Source organism: Homo sapiens, chromosome 20 (assembly GCF_000001405.40).
Source record: "Homo sapiens chromosome 20, GRCh38.p14 Primary Assembly".
In the NCBI taxonomy this organism is placed as follows: domain Eukaryota; kingdom Metazoa; phylum Chordata; class Mammalia; order Primates; family Hominidae; genus Homo; species Homo sapiens.
Window position 1 is genome coordinate 3753425 of NC_000020.11, and position 22425 is coordinate 3775849.

The 22425-nt window shown below is 53.7% G+C and overlaps 1 protein-coding gene across 6 annotated transcripts, besides 5 other annotated features; it reads right to left on the reverse strand.

Annotated features, from left to right (window-relative positions):
* Positions 1-83: 83 nt before the first annotated feature.
* On the reverse strand, positions 84-14964 carry ADISSP (adipose secreted signaling protein). Of its 6 annotated transcripts, none has more exons than NR_047675.2 (6): positions 14678-14964; positions 6658-6762; positions 5112-5254; positions 2045-2183; positions 973-1095; positions 84-734 (listed from the first exon to the last, which is right to left on the reverse strand). NR_047675.2 is itself a non-coding variant. In NM_001258429.2 (6 exons), the coding sequence occupies exons 2-6, from the start codon at positions 6674-6676 to the stop codon at positions 634-636; spliced, it is 525 nt and encodes a 174-aa protein (NP_001245358.1). In that variant the 5' UTR covers positions 6677-6762; positions 14239-14329; the 3' UTR covers positions 84-633. The 6 variants fall into 6 exon arrangements, 5 of the variants coding, with proteins under 5 accessions (NP_001245358.1, NP_001034229.1, NP_001245359.1 ...); NM_001258429.2 differs by lacking the exon at positions 14678-14964 and adding an exon at positions 14239-14329; NM_001039140.3 differs by lacking the exon at positions 14678-14964 and adding an exon at positions 14239-14329 and having other exon boundaries at positions 6583-6762.
* Positions 13474-14238: an enhancer, noted in NCBI's record as "H3K4me1 hESC enhancer chr20:3747545-3748309 (GRCh37/hg19 assembly coordinates)". NCBI's record gives its function as "activates a minimal SCP1, AML or CMV promoter by ChIP-STARR-seq in primed H9 embryonic stem cells {active_cell/tissue: H9 hESC(primed)}" and the evidence as "EXISTENCE:reporter gene assay evidence [ECO:0000049][PMID:30033119]".
* Positions 14224-14463: a silencer, noted in NCBI's record as "silent region_12626". NCBI's record gives its function as "represses an Ori minimal core promoter by ATAC-STARR-seq in GM12878 lymphoblastoid cells {active_cell/tissue: GM12878}" and the evidence as "EXISTENCE:reporter gene assay evidence [ECO:0000049][PMID:35858748]".
* Positions 14224-14952: a biological region, named in NCBI's record as "H3K27ac-H3K4me1 hESC enhancer GRCh37_chr20:3748437-3749023".
* Positions 14366-14952: an enhancer, noted in NCBI's record as "H3K27ac-H3K4me1 hESC enhancer chr20:3748437-3749023 (GRCh37/hg19 assembly coordinates)". NCBI's record gives its function as "activates a minimal SCP1, AML or CMV promoter by ChIP-STARR-seq in naive H9 embryonic stem cells {active_cell/tissue: H9 hESC(naive)}" and the evidence as "EXISTENCE:reporter gene assay evidence [ECO:0000049][PMID:30033119]".
* Positions 15614-15663: an enhancer, noted in NCBI's record as "active region_17482". NCBI's record gives its function as "activates an Ori minimal core promoter by ATAC-STARR-seq in GM12878 lymphoblastoid cells {active_cell/tissue: GM12878}" and the evidence as "EXISTENCE:reporter gene assay evidence [ECO:0000049][PMID:35858748]".

Sequence of the window (22425 nt, forward strand, 5' to 3'; positions counted from 1 at the left end):
TGAGTCTACCCAAGTCTTTCCCTGGCCCATCTGCAAAGGAGTAGGCATTACCCCAACCCCAGAGAACAAAAATCCACCTGGCCTCCGGTATCCACTGGAAGTTTATTTCTTTAGGGTTCTATCCCAACCAGTCGCTTAAAAACCAAGTAACACAGACCTGAGGGGTGGGGGCTGGGGACTGCACCTCCCTCCTACTCATGGTGGACAGCAGTGGGGACTAGGGAGGGGCAGGAGAGGTGGCTGAAGCAAGGCAGCAGTAATGGGGCCACGACGCCACAGAGCCAGCTCCGTCCTCTCCCAGACCCTGGTGGGAGTCCCTGTGGCTTGGGGTGGGGAGTGGGGGACCCACCCCAGGCCCTCCCTCTCCCTTCCTCAGACAGCCTCCTTTCGGGCTCAACCCATTTCTTCCGGCAGGAGACTGAGGCACACAGAGAGGAGGAAGTGGGAGAGGAGGACGAGGGAGGGGCAGGGTGGCAGCACAAATGAAGGCAGAGGTGAGAGGCGTGGGCAAGGCCACTCCACCCCCACACCCACCCCAGAGAGGGGCGAGGAAGCCACACCATCACGCAGCATGTCGGGGGGACAAGGCGGGGTTTAAGGCTGAGGGGCCCGGGGCAGGCGGGGCCTCGGGCCTCAGTCAAAGCCGTGCCAGTCGCTGTGCTCTGAGTCGTATTCCAGCTCGGCGCCCACACACTTGACACCATCCAGCAGCATGGGCGTGCCGTGGTGCCGGTCTGCAAGGCAGGGTGCAAGTCAGTGCCATGCTGGCCCCCGGCCCCACCCATGCGGCCCACTAAGGGGACCCCTCCCCTTCCCTCAGGGATCAGCTGGAGGTAGGGACCTGCCAAGGAGGTTGAGAACCCCTGAGCCGGGCAAGGATCCCTTGTTCAGCCTTGGTTCCCTGAGGAGGACAGAAACCCTCGCAGTCGAGCTTGTGCATCCCTCCTCCAACCAGGAGCCTCACGCTCTCACCCATGACGCGGGCCTGCACCGTCACGCGCACACAGGTGCCAGTGCCACCTTCGCAGGCTAGCAGTATCTCCTCTTTGAGGACGCCCTCTTTGTGCGCCGAGTACTCACACTTGACACTATAACCTGCCCGGGGACAGGGGCAATTGGTCAGCACCTCCCCCAGCCTCCCCGATCCTGCCCCTGGCACTCACGGGCCCCTACCCACCACCATGGGGGGACTGCATGCTAAGCCCCCCCAAGAAAGGGGCAGGGATGGCCCTTCTGGAGCCCAGAGACCCATTCCCCCTAGCAGGGGTGCACAGGTCTCAAAAACCCATTCTTCAGTGAGCTGGACATGCCTCCAGCCTGTGGGCCACCCCAATGTGGCTCCAAGAGTGAATGAAGTAGGGTCCAATTCAGGCTTCCAAAAGAAGGTCTGGCTGTTTTCTCCCAAAAGGAAGGCAGGGAGAGGCGGTGATGAGGAGTGAGGGGGGCAGGGCAGGGTAGGCTTTGAGCAGATCCGATGGCAAGAGGTAAAGGCCTGAGGGGTGTCAATCCATTGAAGGGCAAGGTCATGAAGAGGCTGGTGACGGGGACATGAAACTGAAGCTGGAGCTCCACGAAACTGACACCCTAGCCTCTGCCAGGCTGGGAGTGGGGCATGGGGCAGGGCCTGAAGTGAGCCTGATAGGAACAGCAGCCTGAAACCCAAGGTCTGGGACTGGTGGGTGCTAGGAGTTATCCACACGGTGTGTGTAGCTCCAGCAGGTTTTTCTAGAGGGTTAGGGAGGCAGGAGGGAAGGCTGGAGGCTTCAAACCAGTTCCTCAGCAGCTCCCATCTTGGTTACTGCCCCACGGAGGTAACCATCACACCATGGGCAGGTACAGGGAAGTATGAGCTCATGGACTTCTGTTCAGGACAGGGAGCAAGGCCTGGAGTGTGGGACCTGCCATGCTGCCACAGTGCAAGCTCACAAAGAGGTGCCACATCCCCGACTTGCTGAGCTGCCCATCCACCCTAGTTGGAAGTAAGGGAGCACCCCATGTTCTCACTCCCACACCCATCCAGGCCCTGCTGGAGGAGGGGACGCACCTTCAGGGACGGGCACCACGCTGAGGAGCTTGAGGTGCAGGCTGGGGACAGGTGCCTCGCGGACATCCTTGCTCAGCCTGTGCACTGGGGGCAGAGTGAAGGTAATCTCATACCTGTGCAGGATCTTCAGGAAGCCAACCTACAGCAGGAGAGGTGAGGGAGGGAGGCACCTTCACTTCCTGCTTCCCGCAGGCCCACCCAGTTGTGCCACCTATGATCCCATGCGCCCCAGCACCTGCTTCCCCAGAGAGCCCAGAAAGCCCAACTCCCTCCATCACTCCAGCTGATCGACCCCCAGCCCAGTGGCCCCAGCCCTTTCACAGACCCCTTGAGGGTCCCAGCCCTACAGCTTGGCCAGCAAGATCCTCAGCATCTGTCTCACGGGCCCCAAAGTCCTCAGTGGCTCATTTCATAGACAGGAAAATGGAAACCACAAAATGACTGGCCAAAGGCTATGTAGTGTGGCCAGGGTCAAGTCCTCCCTAGACTTCTTGGCCATTCCTGCTATGCATGGCACCCAGCAAGGCACCACCCACTGCCTACAAGGGAAAGTTCAAAGTCCCATGGGTCATTCACCTGTCCCCATCACTGCCAGTATCCCAGGGTCAGGGATGCTGGTCCTCCATTCGCTCATAGGATGACACCAGGCCACAGATAGCGTGGGATGAGGGATGGGATCAAATTAGAGATATGACAGTAGACCAGCTGTGTCAGCCCAGAGCTGGCCCACAGGCCTGGCACCAGCCACTGAACTGGGGCTCCTGGCTGCCCTGCTGGCACTGGACTGGGGATGCCTGCCTGCCCACTCAAAGGCTGTGTCCAATGGCCCATACTCACGACCCAAGCAATTTCTGTTGTTCATTCACAGTGCTTGGTGACAACCACCCTCTGGGACAAATGCCATTCTTGGAAACTCCAGTAGTATGAAGGGTCACAAGCCAGGGTGGTTGCTGAGCAGGGGGGCTGGTGGGGGTGCCACGCCAGCAGGCAAAGGGTGCCTGCTGTACTCCCAGCTTGCATGGGCACACAGAGTCCTGCTCACAGTTACTGGGGCTGGGCAGCCCCATCCCTGGGGGCCAACTGGGACTGGCTGCAGAGAGTTTTAGCCATTCAATGGGACCAGGTTGATATTGCTACATGACAAACTTCAATCCATGTGCCCCCCTCATGCTCTGCTGGTAGGGGGCACATCCCTCAAGAAGGCTTTCTGGCTGTACCTGCTAACTGTGACCCTGTGACCCAGGGGTACTACTTATAGAATTTTCCAGGGGAAATAGAGATGTGCAGAAAAATACTCTTCGCTGCCCTATTTATAACAATGAAAACAAAAACAGCCGTAACACCCAGGAACAGGGAGCCAGCTAAGTCAATGATGACACGTATCATGGACCAGTAGGCAGTTGTAAAATCTCGTGGAAAATTATTTACTGACACAGGTAGGAGACAGTTCACAACAGAAGCAAGCAAAAACCAGTGTGGACACGGTGAGGCCAGCTTTTGTTTTTGGAAACAAAGCTTTTTAAAATAAGCTGGATCCATCACCATAGTGTTTTCAGAAAAATAAATAAATAAATAAATAACATTTTAAAAAGCTGGAATAAGCCAGGTGTGGTGGCTCACGCCTGTAATCCCAGCACTTTGGGAGGCCGACACGGACGGATCACGAGGTCAGGAGATCGAGACCATCCTGGCCAACAGAGTGAAACCCCGTCTCTACTAAAAATATAAAAAATTAGCTGAGAGTGGTGGCACGCGCCTGTAATCCCAGCTACTCTGGAGGCTGAGGCAGGAGAATTGCTTGAACCTGGGAGCTGGAGGTTGCAGTGAGCTGAGATGGCGCCACTGTACTCCAGCCTGGAGACAGCAAGACTCCGTCTCAAAAAGAAAAAAAAAAGCTGAAATAACACACATCAGAATATTAACCATGGTTATTTTGGGATAGTATGACTGTGGGTACTTTTAAATTTCTTCATATTTTCTCTGTCTTCCAAATTTTCTCATGTCTATTAAGACATGAGTGGATTTTGCAATGAGGGGAGAGAGCTATTTTTAAGTGTTGGTTTGTTCCATTTACTCTCTTGGGGAAGCTGTCAGCTGTAGGACAAAGAGTGGGAACTTCAGAGTTGGACAGAAATGGATACAAACCTGGGCCCCCCAGGTTCTTTTTTGTTTGTTTGTTTGAGACAGAGTCTTTCTGTTGCCCAGGCTGGAGTGCAGTGGCACAATCTCAGCTCACTGCAACCTCAGCCTCCTGGGTTCAAGCAATTCTTCTGCCTCAGCCTCCCAAGTAGCTGGGACTACAGGCGTGCGCCACCACGCTCAGCTAACTTTTGTATTTTTAGTAGAGACGGGTTTCGACCCATTGGCCAGGCTAAACCTGGGCCCCTTTTGAGCAGCGCAGCAGACCCCCCACTCAGGGCCATCTCAATGGGCCAGACCTCCCCCGACCCAAGGGCACTCCTGTTCAACTCTGGACCCCTGATTTATTGACCAACCTGAAGGCCTCAGTCTCCATTTTCCCCAATCCAGCTCCACCAAGCAGAAAACAGGGGGTGATAATACTACTTCAAAGAGCCTAACTGAGCCAGAGATTTGGCAAAGAAGGGTTAAAAAAAAAGTTGCACCTTGTTATTGCCATAGTTAGCTTCACACCTGTATCACATACATACATTCTTCCATTCTCACACCAACTCTAGGGGATGTGATTGTCTCCACTTGAGAGAAAAGAAACTCAGGTGACCTTCCCAAGGTCACAGAGCCAGAATGGCTGGCCTAGACCTGAACTCAGGCCACTGGCACCACAGCCACGACACTGCCTTCCATTGCTATTGTCTGGGTGAAGCAGATGACAGCAGTGGCTCTGCTCATCTTGATCTGGATGACATTCTAAATGCTCTCATCTCATTGAAATCTCACTGCCTCCCATCTGACAGATGGGGCAACCAAGGCACAGGGAAAGGCACAGACATGCCTATAAGCCCGGCTGAGAGGAACGGGGATAGGCACCCAGAAGCCAGGCAGAGCCGGGGAGGGGAAGAAGCTGCTGATGGGGTAGGTGTGCATGTACCTTGACCAGAAAGCTGCTGTCACTCTCCTGGGTGACCATGACCACCGAGTCATGCAGCTTCTCATCAAAGTGGACGTGGCTGTGGGATCCTTCTGCATCGTGGCCTGCCGCAAAGCGGATACTCCGGACTCTGGGCTTGTTGCCTAGGAAGAGTGGGAGAGGGCTCTGAGGGCTTTCCCTGTCCCCAGGAAACTCCTCCCCCTTGTCCCCTCGTCACCCCCAAGACTGCCCTTGACATCATCCAGCTCCCACTGGCTGGGCTCTTTTCAGGGCTAGATGGACACTAGGATCATGAGGCTTGAGGCCTCCCCGCCGGCCCCGACCTGCCCCTCCCACAAAAATCCATCCCCTGAGAGTGAGCGTGGGGGGACTCAGGGACTGGCTAATATGACCCTTGCTTGGAGGGGGTGGGGCTGGTGCCAGAGCCAGGAAGGGACAGTCTTCCAGACTCCCACCAAGCCAGGGCAGCGTGGGACTCAGCCCAGTCCTCTGGATACCCTGCCCAGTGCTCTCCTTCACAGTGCAAAGCTCCCCATCCCTGGGGCCTACCCCTAAGCTGTGTCAGTGCATGAGGCCCCTGCCTGCCCATCCTCATGACCCAAACCTGAAAGGGCAGGGACAGGAACAGGCTCTGGGGGATCTGCCTGGGGTGGCAGAAACAGGGGGGATCAAAAAACACACTCAGGCCACCTGGGCGAGGCTGCAGCTGCCAGTAAACCTCACTGGCCCCTGGCAGCAAGAAGAGAGAATCCAAGGAAGCTTCCAGACCCACCTCAAGACCCCCTTCCTTCCTCTGTCTAGCCCACCATCAAGGCCCTCAGCTGTCTCTGAGCTGGGTCGGGTTCTCCAAGGCCAGAAAGGGCAGACGGATGAGACAGGCAGGGTAGGCGGGAGCCGAGCTGAAGGCCTGGACTGGATGAATGCTCAGGCTGTAGAGGCCGAGAGCACGGCCCTAGTCCTCTCTGACCCCTGGCCCCTAGGCCCTCCCACCAAGAGCCCTGCCCAGGGTCCTCTTGGCGGGAGGACCTGATCCAGCTTTGAGCCGGCCTCTTGGATACTCGGAGGCCCAGGGGACCAGCCTGGCACATCCACAATCCCTGGTGAGCCCCACAGAACCCTCAAATCTCACCAGATCACCCTGGCCTAAAACCCTCCCTTATCCCTTCTGGACTCTGAAAGAAACCCAAACTCCCTTCCACAGCCTGCTGTGGCCCTCCCACATCACCAGTCTCAGTGCTCACCATAAGCCCCTCGGCTCCCCCAACCCCCACAGTGGAACGGCAGGGACACAAGAGCACACACCTCCACAGACCAGCCTAAGGAGTCAGCAGGGCTCTGCAGGGGTCCTGCTAGGGCTTGCGTGAGCCCCAGAACCTGGCACAAACACTGACATAGTCCCAATCACATTCGCACACCAGCACACACGCACTCACACATGCACACACACACACACAGGTGGTGCGGGCCCTACCTGCAGCAATGGCCCTCCTACCAGGGCCCACCGGAAGAGCTTGTGCAAGTCCTACCACGCCAGGAAGGCACTTACCCTTGTTGGCTGCAGCCATGGACGCCCTCCCTGCCACGCAGCTCCTGCCAGACACCGCCACTCACGCTCAGCAGCCTCCCATGCTCCAGGGACACCAGCGGGAGCCTGAAGGATAGGGAGTGGGGAGGGCAGGGGTCAGGGCCACTCATGGACCCATGGCTCAGGGACACCAGAGGAGCTCCCTTTAGGAAGGACTCAAACCCCTACCGCTCTCAGCAGCCCAAGTGGTGCCTGTACTCTCTAGCACGGGGGCTTCTGCCCACCCTCTACCGACTGCCCACATTCACCAAGAGCCCTCACCCCTTCCTGATACCCCAGTGACTCAGGGTCCTGCCAGCATGTGCTGAGCTGCAGCTTCTAGGTGCCAAAGCAACAGCATAGGACTCCTATCCCCAGCACCCCCAGAGACTGGCAGGAGGGGCAGCCTGGAAAGGAGGACTTTATTGGTATTTTCCAGGGACCAGTTCTGGTGCTGCTGACCCCAAAGGCTGGGCCTGGAGCTACCTTATTCAGGTCACACAAGCAATGCAGCTGGGTGCGGTCAGAGGCAACAGGGTGCTCGATGGTGGGCAAGAACAGGGGACCACATAAAGTAAGCGTGCCCTTAGAGCTTTCCCTCCTGGTGATCGGTCAGGGCCATATGCAAAACAGATGCCTGTGGAGGGGGTGTGCCCCCACCTGAACCCCATTCAGACCCTGCCCTGAGTCTCAGGCCTGCCTCCGCCTCAGCTCCCCAACGGCAGCCTCAGCACAGGGGCAGTGAGAGGCGCCCCAGGAAGCCTCCAATGGGCCGAGCTGGGACCATCTGAGCATCAAAAAGAATAATGAGTGCAACTGATGGAAACAGATGGAACACATAAAAGCAGTGCATTCACAGAGATTATTAGAAAAGAAGAGAGAAAGCAAAACAAACAAACCCAAGCCCTCAAAAGCCCTCATTTGTCACCACTGACGGTAGCAGTGCCCTCTTTACTCTGAAAGCTGAGGATTAAAGAGGAAGAATTCAGCCTGTCTCTTGGCCTTTCTTGTAACCAAATTGCCCTGGTGGTTGATGGAAAGCTCTTCTTTCGGAAAGAATTCTTGCTAATAAATAACAAAGAAATGACCAAATGCTAAGTCATTCTGCAACCCCTAAAGGAACAAATGCTGGAGGCAACAAGAACCAGTGGATGCTAAACCAGAGGGGAAGGTTGACAGGAAGCAGATACTCACAGGCGCCCAAGCGTCACTGACAGAGGACCTGGTATGGTTTTTGTTTTTTTTTTTTTTCTGAGACGGAGTTTCACTCTTGTCACCCAGGCTGGGATGCAATGGCACGATCTCGGCTAACTGCAACATCTGCCTCCTGGGTTCGAGCGACTCTCCCACCTCAGCATCCCGAGTAGCTGGGACTACAGGCGCCCGCCACCACGCCTAGCTAATTTTTGTATTTTTAGTAGAGACAGGGTTTCACCATGTTGGCCAGGCTGGTCTCGAACTCCTGACCTCAAGCAATCCGCTCACTTCGGCCTCCCAAAGTGTTGGGATTACAGGTGTGAGCCACCATGCCTGGCCGAGGACCTGGTGTTTAAGAGGAATGGCACAAGTTTGCAATGGAGGTATGTGACTTCTCCCAGTCACACACTGGTCTATCTCTCTACTCTCTGCAGGACAGCCTGTCACACTGATGCCTCCTGAAGTAAGGCAGCCCAAAGTCACAGCATCACTGACAAGGGATTCCTGCCAAAAAGGTTTAACCTGGAATCTAAACCAGCCTCTAACTTCAACTTCTCATTTGCTAAAAACACAGAGGAGAGGGGAACAAATTTAATGACTCCATGAGAAAGCAATGAGACGAGCCCAGAAGGCAGGATATTCTACAGGATGACTGACCTGTTTTTTGTTTTTGTTTTTGTTTTCAAATGTCAAGAAGAAAAAGAAAGCAGGCTGGGAACGGTGGCTCACGCCTGTAATCCCAGCACTTTCACGGATCACAAGGTAAGGAGTTCAAGACCAGCCTGGCCAACATAGTGAAACCCAGTCTCTACCAAAAGTACAAAGATTAGCCGGGTGTGGTGGCGGGCAGCTGTAGTCCCAGCTAGTTGGGAGGTTGAGGCAGGAGAATCACTTGAATCCGGAAGGCGGAGGTTGCAGTGAGCCAAGATCGCGCCACGGCACTTCAGCCTGGGTGACACAGCGAGACTCTGTCTCAAGAAAAAAAAAAAAGAAAGAAGAAAAATAAAACGAGGGAGATTATTCTAGATAGGAAAGCAGCAAACTACAGCTGATTACACAGCTGATGGTAAGGTTGCTGCCTGTTGTGTTTTTGTTTTTGTTTTTGAGACAGGGTCTCACTCTGTCCAGCCCAGGCTGGAGTCCAGCTCACTGCCACCGTAATCTCCCAGGCTCAAGCAATCCTCCCACCCCAGCCTGCCAAGTAGCTGAGACCACAGCCACGCACCACCATGCCCGGCTAATTTTTGTAGAGACAGAGTTGCCCAGGCTGGTCTCAAACTCCGGAGCTTAAGCGATCCACCCACCTCAGCCTCCCAAAGTGCTGGGATTACAGACGTGAGCCGCCAGGCCTGGCAAATAAATTTTTGCAAATAAAGTTTTACTAATAGAACACTACACTTCATTCACTTACATGTTGTCTGTTTTTGCACTAAAACAAAGTTACTTCCAAGTAGTTATGATAGAGACCATATGGCCTGCAAAGTCTAAACCATTTATTATTTGGCCCTTCAGAGCAAAAGTTTGCCAACCCTTGTTCTAGATCAACACACACTTAACAGACCAAAAAAGGATAATCTTCAGGACAACTGACCTGTTTTTTTCACCACATCAGCTGCAAGAAGAAAAATAAAGGAGAGGGTGTTTCGAACTACCTATCAAAGAAGACATTTTGGGGGGTGCCGGGCGCTGCGGCTCACACCTGTAATCCCAGCACTTTGGGAAGCCAAGGCGGGTAGATCACCTGAGGTCAGGAGTTTGGGACCAGCCTGGCCAACATGGCGAAACCCCATCTCTACTAAAAATACAAAAATCAGCTAGGCATGGTGGTGTGCACCTGTAATCCCAGCTACTCAGGAGGCTGAGGCAGGAGAATCGCTTGAACCTGGGAGGCGGAGGTTGCAGTGAGCCAAGATCCCGCCACTGCACTCCAGCCTGGGTGACAGAGCGAGACTCTGTCTCAAAAAAAAAAAAAAAAAAAAGGCCGGGTGAGGTGGCTCACGCCTGTAATCACAGCACTGTGGGAGGCTGAGGCGGGCGGATCACCTGAGGTCGGGAGTTCAAGACCAGCCTGGCCAACATGGAGAAACCCTGTCTCTACTAAAAAATACAAAATTAGCCAGGCGTGGTGGCGCATGCCTGTAATCCAGCTACTCGGGAGGCTGAGGCAGGAGAATCGCTTGAACCCAGGAGGCGGAGGTTGCGGTGAGCCGAGATTGCGCCACTGCACTCTAGCCTGGGCAAAAGGAGCAAAACTCCGTCTCAAAAAAAAAAAAAAAAAGACATTTGGGGGATCTGGAAAATGTAAATGGCCTGGATATGAGGTAACACTAAGAAATGAGTTGATCATGGAATTGTATTATGTAAAGAATTATGTCCTTATTTTGTCAGGGAAACATACTGAACAACTTAGAGATGAGTGACACTGGCTCATCAGTCCAGGGACAGAAGAGGAACTACAGGGTGGCCTCATAGTTTAGGGCTGGGCCTGTGGAGGGCATGATCTCAAGGTCCCTCTGGTGCCAAGCTGCTCTGGGAGCAGATGTGGCCTCACCTCGCTCCCCACTTCTCAATGTGGGCAAAGTCCACCCAGGCCCAAGCCCTGCCTCATGGGCAGGGTGTTCACAGTTTGGGTACCACCAGGAGCCCCCTTTGGCCAATGGACCAGGCCAGCAACCCCCTCTTGGAGGTGAGCTTCCAGGCCCCAGCCCAGGGTGCAGGAAGTGGAGCTACACCCATTCACCTCTGGCCAGGGCCACTGTGGGGTCAGTTGCCTCAGCCCTGGAAAGCTCAGCTTGTCCCCAGGGAACTTGGTCTTGGAGAGCAGCCTGCCGTAACCGCCCCCCGACTACAGCTGCCCCCAAAGCTGTGAACTCAGAGTATATGACAAATGGCCAAGCACAAGAGTGTGAGGCCCTCCTATCCTGCAGAGGCTGCTCCAGCCACACCTCTGCAGCCAGGAGGCAGTGACAGCCCAGTGTCCTCAAGGTCCCCCCATCTCCCAGGATGCTTCCTGAAGGCTCTGGTTAAACTGCACCAGTGGCTGGTGAGCAAAGGCTGCAGGCCCTTTTCACAAAACACTCTGAACTGGTCCATGCAGGGCACCCTCCCTGTCTTCCTCCCAACCTACTGCCTGACCGTCCCCCCGCCCTGCCTTTGCCCAGGTCATCCCTTCAGCCAGGAACAATCCCGTCCCTCCCAGCCACACCTTCGACAGGGTCTCAGCCCCAACATTTCTTTTTTAAGGATGCACACCCTGCAAATCCCAGGACAGGACTACAGCTCTTTTTGGAATCCCCTTTCTCATGTCTGGGATCATTTGATATCCCTCTTCCTCACCTTACAAGGGTAGTGACTGTGTTTTTGTCAAACCCTGTGTCCCCGGCACTCAGCGCAGCACCAGACAGGGAGGAGCTGTGTTTGGTTTATGTTTGTTGAATGAATGACCACATCACATTTGCTTGGAGGGCCTGGCCAAGGCCCGTACTTCAGCCCTAAATGATATGGTCAGGGCCAGTGACTGCACTGGGGGCTCTGAGGAAGCAGAACTCCCCACCCCACTCTTTTGCCTCACCCCTGCCCTGGGGGGCACTTCCCTCTCCCTGGCCCCCACCAAGTGGCCTCCCACTGGGACTCCTCAGGCCTTGCTGCAGTCAGCTGGTTACCTGTCCATGCCTGCTTTGAGAGGGACATGCCCCATGCCCACTGAGGGTAGGACCCACATCTCATGCAGTGCCAGTACTCAGTAAAGGGCAAACACTGAGGGCCTGTAACCCTCTGGATAGTGACAACATAGAGGCAGGAAGCAAGGGACTTCAGGAACCCAAAGGAAACTGGGAAAACCAAACCTCCTTTCTCAATGGAGAACCTGCTGGTCGCTGTCCTCGGGGAGCTAGACTCTTGTGCACACACAATTCCTCATCAGAAACAGGCAAAGAGGGCACTGGGCCTCCCCTGCTGCAGCTGTGTCCACAGAGAACAGCTAGGCCACCACACAACCCCAAGCCTGGCCCTGCCTCCAGCCTCCTCCTGTGCCAACCAAGGCCTCACCATGGCTCAATCCACATGGCCCCCAGAGGCAGCAGTCCTGGTTCAAATTCAGGATCTGCCCTTGCTAGCTGCATGGGTGAGTTCTTTCACTTCTCTGTCCCTGTTTCCTAATGTGTAACACAGGAATAAGCAGTGGCCTCTTCCTTCCAGGGTTTGCTGCAACTGTGCCTGAAGCTCTGTGACAATGCACCCCCCATCTCTGCAAAAGCAAACCCCCAAAGGCCTGGTTTCTAAAGCAACAGCAGTTTCAGCAGCACCGTCAGAGAGGCACTTCAGGCCAATCCTGGAGGAGCCAGGAGTGACCCTTAGAGTGGGCCCCAGGGACGTCAGCCTTCTTGGAAAACAGCTCAAGGGGTGAGGGGGCCTCCCTCCTCCTGCCTCCCCCTTCTCCCACTCCCAAAGCAGCCAGGTCCCTAGGGAGGGTCAGAGAACAGATGCTGGGAGTTTCCAGTCCCCCTAACCAGAGGGGGTCACAAGGAAGATGTGCAGAATGAACATCCTGGGAAACTGGGAAATGACTAGGGAGGAACATGGTGCCTCCCCGCCAGCAAAAAAAATTATACCCTTCCCCATGAGATGGAGTGTCAGCAAGCTTCCAGGCCCCAGCCCAGGGTGCAGGAAGAGGAGCTACACCCATTCACCTCTGGTCAGCATGCTCCCAACGTCTGAGACCTCATTTCTCATTCCTTCTTCAGTCCCCATTCTCATTGTGGTTCGAGGTCTTTCTCTCTGAGCCAGGAACTCCGCAACCTTCCACCCTCCCTACCTCTTCCTCTCCTACCCCAGCCTGGGGCTCAGTCCTGGCTCAAGCACTCAGTCCAGCAGAAGCACTGTGTAGCCTCCCATTAAAGCTCACGCCTGTGAAAAGAACAGCCATTGAGGCCTTGAGATGGGGCCACACTGACCCGCTGACTCTCAGGACTGGACACAGCAGAGGCCACACATACTCAGAACAAAGCCTGGAAAGGCAAGGCTGGAGGTCAGTAGTTGTGGCAGCTTCACATCAACTCAGCTTTAATGTGATTTAATTTCCTTCTCCCTCCAGTGGGCCAAAGGTGCAAAGATAAGTATGGCTGTTCTCTCTCCTTCTAACAGTGAGGTGCTGGGGGTGGGGGTGGGGGAATATGGAGAAGGGACCCTCACCACCCACACCTTCCTGCCTCCCCAACAAGTGCTGCCCTCCTCTGCCCAGCATTCTCCCCACTTTGCCCTCAGCTAGTGGGTGCTTAGCCTCCAGATAGCATGCCCCACCTAGGCCCTGCCCTGGGCCTGTGATCCAGAGGTCCCAAGAAGCAGAGGCCAGGCTGGATCCAGGGGGTCAGCCAAGGTGAGGGTGGGAGCACACAGGATTATCTCCCAGGGACAGGGCTGCTGCCTCGTAGCTCAGGATGGATAGAATGTGGGGGGATATCCAGCTACATTTTCCCTCCACAAAAGACCAGAATGGGAGAGGGATGGGGTGCTGCCCCGACTTTCTTCAACTCCCCGGAGCAGAAAAATGCCCTACCTCCACTTTCCAGTGCCAAGATTCAAGAAGAAAGGCAAGCGGAGACTTCCCTTTCTCAGTCCCTGCTTACTAATGGAAACACGGGTCCAGAACCTAAATCCAGTCCCTCCTCCTTCATACCACCGGGAGGGAGGTGCAGCCCAAGCCCCCGAGGCCCCAAGGGTCCAGGTGTAGGACCCTTTATCCTCTCCGGCAGCCATCCCTGTGGGTGTGGCACCCCCGCCACACCCCATTCTTGTCATCTCAGGGGGAGGGGGGAAATGTAATCGGACATCCCCCCCATCCAATCCATCCTGAGCTGCGAGGCGGCGGCTCTGTCCCTCGGAGATAATCCTGTGCACTCCCCACCTTCACTCACCTCGGCTGACGCAGGAGTCTCCGGAGCCCGCACTCCCAGACATCACTGCCCTCCTTCCTGAGGGTGCTGAGGCTCGGAGGCTCAGAGATGCTACTGGTCCAAGGTCATGCAGCGAGGCAGCGGCAATGAACAGGGTCGTGGGGAGGAGGGGGCGCTGACCCCATTACGCCCCCGCCCTCACTACCGCACTCATGCCCCCGGACAATCGCTTCGCGGAAAACACCCCAGCTGCACCAGCTAACGGTCACTGCGCCCCGGGAACCTGACATCACTCTAGTTCAGGTGCTGGGGAGTCCTCCAGGCCCGGCCCCGACAGCGGAGCCCCCCACCCCAGCCCTGCCATCACGGCCGCTGGGGTCCCAGGCACTGACTGCTCAGGACAGGGCCGGGACCGGGAGGGGACCTCGGCGAACGGGAAGGAACCGGGAGGCAGGGAGCAGAGGGGTGGCCTCACCTTGCGGGGTGCACCCCGGGGCCGGGGAGGGCAGGGACGACCACTGCAGCGGCGGCGGCTGCAGGAGCTCAACGCCGAGCACGAGGAAGGGAGCCCCGCGCCGCGGCCGCCCTCCCGTCGGCACGCCCCCGCCTCCGCCCATTGGTTGATCTGGGAGGGTGGGGCGAGGGACGCTCCGGACCAATGAGCGGGCTCCAAAGAACGGCCAACTGGCGAGGGCCGCCTACGTCACGTGCCAGGGTCGCCGAGGCAGCGCCCTGCTAGTCCGCGCCTGCCGGGCGAGCTCTCGCGAGGAAGACGGGCAGGCGGCCCAACTAGGCCAGGGGCCAGAACCGACCACTCGAAGAGGGAGAAGGAGGGCCTCGGATAGGCCCCGCCCCCGCTCCTTCTTCCGCCTGGGGGATAGCGCCTCTAGCCTTGAACCTTGCTTAGGACGCACCTCCCTTGGGCCCTTCGCTCTCGGGAGGGCTGTCGGGCGCGTCTCGGGGCTGGGTGGAGCTCCCGAAGGTGGCCTTTCTCCCTGGGCTTCCACGCCGGCTTCGGCCATCGATACGGGCCGTGTTGGTCTCGTTCAGGAGCTGAGGAACCCTCCATCACTCCTGTTTCGACCCCAGGGTTTGGACCTCTTCCCCTTCCACCCCATCCCCTGTCTCGAAAGAAGCAACCCCCGTGCGGGCCCGAGACGCGTCCCGGGTGCCTGGCCCGGCCTGGAGAAGCATCAGAACAAAGAAGGCACGCGGGCTGGGGGCTGGGAGAGCCTGTGACGCGCCCCCGGGGACCGCAGCCTCTGCTCCCGGTCTCCATGGAGGCGGTCGCCATGGCAGCGAGATGCGCCTCGCTCAGCACCGCGGGGTGGGATGTGGGCGCCTGCAATGAGCCGAGGAGCGAGAGGCGTGGCCCTCCGGTCTGCGGGGGTTCTTGCCGGTGCTCTCCGCCCGCCGGTTCGCGAACACCCCACCTATACTTCGCCCGTGGGGACGGATTCCCCAAAGTGCCCTCAGTAAGCCGTCCGGAGCACGCAGCGCCTTGCTTCCAACGGAACTAGAGAGACGGCCTGGGCGGCCGAAGGCCAGCCTCCCTTCAGCAGGGCCGGGGTCGCTGCCTTAAAGGAGCCCTCAAGTCTGCCACCCTGTGGCCCATAACCTGTCTGCTGATCTCCAGTCTGCACACTGTTGGCAAATTAATCTTTCTGAGCTCTTGTTTTCATCGCGTCCCTCTCCTGCTCCAAAGCCCTCTGGGACTGCCTCCAGTAGCGCTTCACAAACTTCAGCAGCACTTTGGGTGACTCATGTGCCCTCGCGTTTGAGAGACAGCGCTTACATTGAGAGCTTTTCACATTCTGATCTCAGCCCATCCACTCCTGCCCACTCTACCCACTCCCACCACACTACCTTTAGACCTTGTCTTGAAAGTCTAAAGTTGGCAGACGGTGGGCCCAAAGTGGCCCGTAGGTGTATTTTGTTTAGCTCACATGGGGCTTTTTAAAAGAAGTCCTTCCCCCTCCTGCCTCCTCCGCCTCTTTCTGGAATCAGGAATCTGGTTTCGTGGCTTTTGAAATATCAGAAGATCTGACAACATGGGCTCACTTTCCAGCCTGGCATTACAAGCCCCTTTAAGAGCACATAAATTTACCATAGTCCCCGCTAATCCCTGTTTCTCACGGTTAGTTACCTTCTGGGTCTGTGCAGACATTTGTGATCCCCTCCCCCTCATTATCCCACCTTCCAACCTGGAAGGCCCTCCCCGCTCTCTTCTCATAGCCAAAATTCAAGCCCTCTTCAACCAAGATAAGTTTTGCCTATTTATTTATTTATTTATTTTTGAGACAGAGTCTCACTCTGTCGCCCAGGCTTGAGTTCAGTGGTGCCATCTCGGCTGACTACAGCCTCCACCCCCTCCCCCGCCGGGTTCAAGCCATTCTCCTGCCTCAGCCTCCCAAGTAGCTGGGATTCTAGGTGCGCGCCACCACACCCAGGGCTAATTTTTGTATTTTTAGTGGAGACAGGGTTTCACCATGTTGGTCAGGTGGGTCTCAAACTCCTAGCCTCAAGTGATCTGCCTGCCTCAGCCTCCCAAAGTGCTGGGATTACAGGCATGAGCCACCGCGCCTGGCCCAAGCCTGCCTTTTTCAAAAGTCTTTCTAGCCAACTTCTCAAAACCATCTCTGGTGTGGGCTCTCTCAAACACAAACTGGCTGCTAACTGCACAGCCCGGGGTTATTTCCGAATTGTCAACTCCTTTCAGCAAACATTTACTGAATGTATCTGATGAGTAAGTTATTGTGCTAGGCTCTGTGGAGTGGAAGGCACTCACAGTTTAGTGTAGGAGGGACACCACACACAAAGAACTGTGGTCTCCTGTCCTTGCCAAATGTTCCTCACACTCCCAGGCATCGGGCAGTCTGGCCCACTGGGAGGAGCTGAAATACAGAGCTGCCCATGCCTAGGGATACTACATGCTCTCAGGGAAGGCCAAAGATGGTTCTGGAAAGCCTCCAGGAGAAAATTAGACTCTTTGTGTCAGGAGGAAGTCAGGGCAGGAGTTACCTGGCTGCCCCATCACTGCCCAATGTGTCTGTGTTACCACACGAGTAGTGCCCAGGCTCTGGGGCTTCCTGTGCGGAGGGCCTTACCAAAGATAGATGGCTCTGCAAGGGAAACCACAGGCCCCTACCAGGCCCCCTGGAGACAGAGGCAGGACAAGAAGAATCAGGAACAACTCCAGGTTAGGAGAACAGATGGAGCACGTATAAAACATCCACTCACGGCCGGGCGTGGTGGCTCACGCCTGTAATCCCAGCACTTTGGGAGGCTGAGATGGGCGGATCATGAGGTCAGGAGATCAAGACCATCCTGGCTAACACGGTGAAACCCCGTCTCTACTAAAAATACAAAAAATTAGCCGGGCATGGTGGCTGATGCCTGTAGTCCCAGCTACTCGGGAGGCTGAGGCAGGAGAATGGCGTGAACCCGGGAGGCGGAGCTTGCAGTGAGCCGAGATTGCGCCACTGCACTCCAGCTTGGGCGACTGAGCCAGACTCCATCTCCAAAAAAAAAAAAAAAAAAATCCACTCACCATGAGAACCTGGTGACTTTTAAAAAAAAACAAAAAAACACAACACTTGCTACAACTCCAAACACACGGTTTTTTGTTTTTTTTTTTATTTTTCAGAGACAGGGTCTCACTATGTTGCCCAGGCTGGTCTCAAACTCTTGGCCTCAAGCGATCCCCCGACCTTGGGCTCCTAATGTGCTGGGACCAGACCAGAGGCACAAGCCACTGTGCCCAGCCCTCTATTCTTTTTAATTAAAAATTAAACAACTATAACCTCATTGGAAAACTGCTTGGCAGTACCTAATAAAAATGATAAATGAAATGAGTAATTCCACTTTTTTTTTTTTTTTGAGACAGAGTCTTACTCTGTCACCCAGGCTGGAATGCAGTGGTGCGATCTCAGCTCTCTACAACCTCTGCCTCCTGGGCTCAAGCACTCCTCCCACCTCAGCCTCCCCAGTAGCCAGGACTACAGGCACATGCCACCACACCCAGCTAATTTTTGTATTTTTTTTTTTTTTTTGAGATTACAGGCATGTGCCACCACGCCGGCTAATTTTGTATTTTTAGTAGAGACGGGTTTCTCCATGTTGGTCACGCTAGTCTCGAACTCCCAACCTCAGGTAAACTGCCTGCCTCAGCCTCCCAAAGTGCTGGGATTACAGGCATGAGCCACCGTGCCTGGCCAATTTTTTTGTATTTTTAATAGAGACGGGGTTTCACCATGTTGGCCAGGCTGGTCTCGAACTCCTGACCTCAGGTGACCGACCCACCTCAGACTCCCAAAGTGCTGGGATTACAAGCTTGAGCCACCATGCCCAGCCATGGCATGTGTTTAATTTTAAAAGAAACTGGCAAATTGTTTTCCAAAATGACTGTACTTACTTACACTCCCATTAGCAGAGTATAAGAGTTTCTGTTGCTTCACATCCTCATCAACATAAAAATTTGCAATTTTGTAAAAAACGCTACACCATGCTAACCAAACAAAGCAGGGCAACGGACTACCAGTCTTCAGCCTCTCCTCTGAGCCATGCCCTTGTAGAGGACAATTTCACAACAGCTATCAAGATTACAAATGCACACACAAAAAAAGAGAAAACACACACACACACACACACACACACACAGCCAACATGGTGAAACCCCATCTCTACTAAAAATACAAAAAATTAGCTGGGCGTGGTGGCAGGTGCCTGTAATGCCAGCTACCCAGGAGGTTGAGGCAGGAGAATCGCTTGAACCCGGGAGGCAGAGGATGCAGTGAGGCAAGATAGTGTCATTGCACTCCAGCCTGGGCCACAGCGCGAGACTCTGACTCAAAAAAGAAAAAAGAGAGAGGAAAAAAAACACAACAAAGATTACAGATGCATATATTCTTTGATCTAGGAACCCCAGTTCTGGAATTTATCATTTAGATATACTTCCCCATGATACTAAATCATGAGTGTATGAGGTTATTTATTGTTGCATTCTTGTGATAGCAAAAGATTGGAAATAACTCAAATGTCCATAAATAGAAGACTTCTTAAATAAATTTGGTACAGACAATATAATGTTATATGGCTTTAAAAAGAAAAAAAAAAAAGAGGAAGTTTTCAATGTCCTCCCAAGTAGCCAGGATTACAGGCGTGAGCCACCATGCCGGGATAATTTTTGTATTTTTAGTAGAGATGGGGTTTTGCCATGTTATACAAGCTGGTCTCGAACTCCTGGCCTCAAGCGATCCACCCACCTCAGCCTCCCAAAATGCTAGGATTACAGGCATGAGCTACCGTGCCCAGCCTGCTAAGGAAAGATTTTGTATTAGCTAGGATTCTCCAGAGAAACAGAACTAGGAAAGAGGGCAGATAGGAAAGACTGACATATTATAAGGAATTGACTCACACAATTATGGAGTCTGACCAGTCCCAAGAGCTGCAGGTTGGGTTGGCAAGTTGGAGACCCAGGAGAGCCAATGGTTTAGTTCCAGTCTGAGTCCCAATGCCTGAGAGCCAGGAAAGTCAATGATGTATCTCCAGTCCAAAGGGCAGCAGGTTTGAGACCAAGGAAGAATCAATGTTTCAGTTTGATCCCAAAGGCGAGAAAAAAGCTGATGTTCCAGTTCAAAGACCACCAGGCAATAAAAATTCTCTCTTATTTGGGGAGGGCCAGCCTTTTTCTTCTATTTAGGTCTCAACTGACTGGATGTGGCCCACTCACATTAGAGAGGGAAATCTGTTTCACTCATCTGCTGATTTCTTTCTTTTTTCCTTTTGTTTTTGAAATGGATTCTCACTCTGTTGCCCAGGCTGGAGTGCCGTGGCATGATCTTGGTTCCCTGCAACCTCCACCTCCCGGGTTCAAGCGATTCTCCTGCCTCAGCTTCCTGAGTAGCTGGGGTTACAGGCAATCACCACCACGCCCGGCTAATTTTTGTATTTTTAGTAGAGACGGGGTTTCGCCATGTTGACCAGGCTGGTCTTGAATGCCTGACCTCAGGTGATTAGCCCGCCTCGGCCTCCCAAAGTGCTGGGATTACAGGCGTGAGCCACCGTGCCCGGCCTCATCTGCTGATTTAAATGTTAACCTTAGCCGGGTGCGGTGGTTTACCCCTGTTTTCCCAGCACTTTGGGAGGCCGAGGCGGGCGGCTCACTCGAGCTCAGGTGTTCGGGTCAACATGGTGAAACCTGCCTCTACTAAATACATAAAAATTAGCTGGGCATGGTGGCATGAGCCTGTAGTCCCAGCTACTCAGGAGGCCGAGGCACGAGAATCACTTGAACCCAGGAGGTGGAGGGTGCAGTTAACTGAAATTGTGCCACTACACTCCAGCCAGGGTGACAAAACAAGACTCTTCTCTCAAAAATAAGAGTAAGACAAATGTGCATGTTTGTTTATAGTCACATAAAGTCATTCCGGAAGGATACATAAAAACTAAAGATAGAGGTTCCCTATTAGAGATGTGCTGGGAATAAGAAGACTTTTCACTTTTTATGTGTTTTTTTTAAATCATATATATGTTTTATCTATTCAAAACATTAAGTAACAAAGTTTAAATACCCTTGCATGCCTTCCTCTCCTGTAGGGTTGTGAACACTGGAGGGAACAAATCATGTTTTATACTCACTTTTGTATTCCTGGTATTTAGTACATAGTAGGTACTCAATAAATAGAGGAAAGAACGAATGAATGAACCAGAAGATAGCAGATTTAGTGTCGGTTAGAGAGAGGAGAGGGGCCAGGCACAGTGGCTCACACATGTAATCCCAGCATTTTGGGAGGCTGAGGCAAGAGGCTCACTTGAACCTAGGAGTTGGAGACCAGCCTGGGTAACAAAGCGAAATCCTGTCTCTACAAAAAAAAAAAAAAAAAAAAAAAAAAAAAAAGCCCAGGAGCAGTGGCTCACACCTGTAATCCCAGCACTTTGGGAGGCCGAGGTGGGTGGATCACCTGAGGTTAGCAGTTCGAGACCAACTAGGCCAACATGGTGAAACACCATCTCTACTGAAGATACAAAAATTAGTTGGGCGTAGTGGCAGGTGCCTGTAATTCCAGCAACTCAGGAGGCTGAGGCAGGAGAATAGCTTGAACCTGGGAGGCAGAGGTTGCAGTGAGCCGAGATCATGCCGCTGCACTCCAGCCTGGATGACAGAGTGAGACATCTCATAAAAAAAAAAAATTAGCTGGATATGGTGGTATGCACCTGTCCTCCCACCTATTCTAGAGGCTGAGGTGTAAAGATTGCTTGAACTTGGGAGGCTGGGGTTGCAGTGAGCCAAGATTGTGCCACTGCACTCCAGCCTGGGCGACAGAGTAAAACCCTGTCTCTAAAAAAGAAGGGAGTTAGGGCTGGGTGCGGTGGCTCACGGCTGTAATCCCAGCACTTTAGGAGGCCGAGGCTGGTGGATCACCTGAGGTCAGGAGTTTGAGACCAGCCTGACCAATATGGTGGAACCCCGTCTCTACTAAAAATACAAAAAGTAGCCGGGTGTGGTGGCGTGTGCCTGTAATCCCAGCTACTTGGGAGGCTGAGACAGAGGAATCACTTGAACCAGGGAAGTGGAGAGTGCAGTGAGCCGAGATCATACCACTGCACTCCAGCCTGGGTGACAGAGCAATACTCTGTCTCAAAACAAAAAAAAAGAAAGAAAGAAAAATTTTTTAAAAATTAAATTAAAAATAAGGGAGTTATAATCTTATCTAATGTAATCACAAAAGTTGACATCCTATCACATTTGCTGTATTCTACTTATCAGAAGCAAGTCACTAAGTCCAGCCTACATTCAAGGAAAGGGTACACATGGGGGTGACGTCCAGGAGGCAGGGATTACTGGGAGCCACGTTAGGAGCTGTCTACTACAAGGAGGAAAAAGCAATGAAAGGATGAAATCTAGGATGGTGGTTATCTCTGAGTGGAAGCAAGGGGGAGAGATGCAAGAAGCACATGGCCGGTGAAAGTTATTTGTAATAATTCCATTCTTGGGGCAGGTGGTGGATTTATAGGTGTTCATAAGTGAGTTGATTATGGACAAATGGGGAGAGAGTGTCATGAACCAAGGATTATATTTAGTCCAATTCAGTAATATTTAAAATATTCAATAATAAATGAAATAAAAATTGCCAACTACTCCTGACCTTGTTCTGAGCCCCATCCATGCACTCCACCTGGTCTTAGTTTAACACTGGCTCCACCTGACCCTCCACTTGCCCCAAACTAACCGTTAGCCCTTCACACACACTGACCCTTGCTATAGCACCACGATCTCTCCATAGTCTGCAATAGGCCCCCGGAGTTCTATTCCCTGAAACTTTTATCCATGTAACCTCACCTGTAGGCTGCTATATGTAAAGATAGTAGGAATGGCTGATGGAGTGGCCCGAGGACCAGGAGACAGGGCAGGCTAACAGTTCTGCCTTAGCAGTAGCACTGTGGGCCCAGAAGACAGGTTTGATGGCTGGTATCACGACCTCACCTATTGGCCTCCTACATGGCAAAGGCTGGGCCAGGTCCTGATGGTTCTTCCTCTTTGAGGCTTCTGCTCCTGGTATCCAGATATAGCTAAGTCTGTCTCTGAGAAGTGCACCTCTGCCACAGCACCAGGCCTGTAACTCCCTTGTTGGTAATAGACTCTATCAACTCTCTCCTTTCC

Bases quoted from the DNA above. Each gene is read 5' to 3' on its own strand.
- ADISSP (NM_001039140.3), bottom strand. From the start codon at position 6,676: ATGGCTGCAGCCAACAAGGGTAAGTGCCTTCCTGGCGTGGTAGGACTT. The intron at 5,255-6,582 runs GTAGGGCCCGCA...CACTCTTCCTAG, and splicing joins TAGGAGGGCCATTGCTGCAG to GCAACAAGCCCAGAGTCCGG. The intron at 1,096-2,044 runs GTGCGTCCCCTC...GTCCCCGGGCAG, and splicing joins CGTGGTGCCCGTCCCTGAAG to GTTATAGTGTCAAGTGTGAG.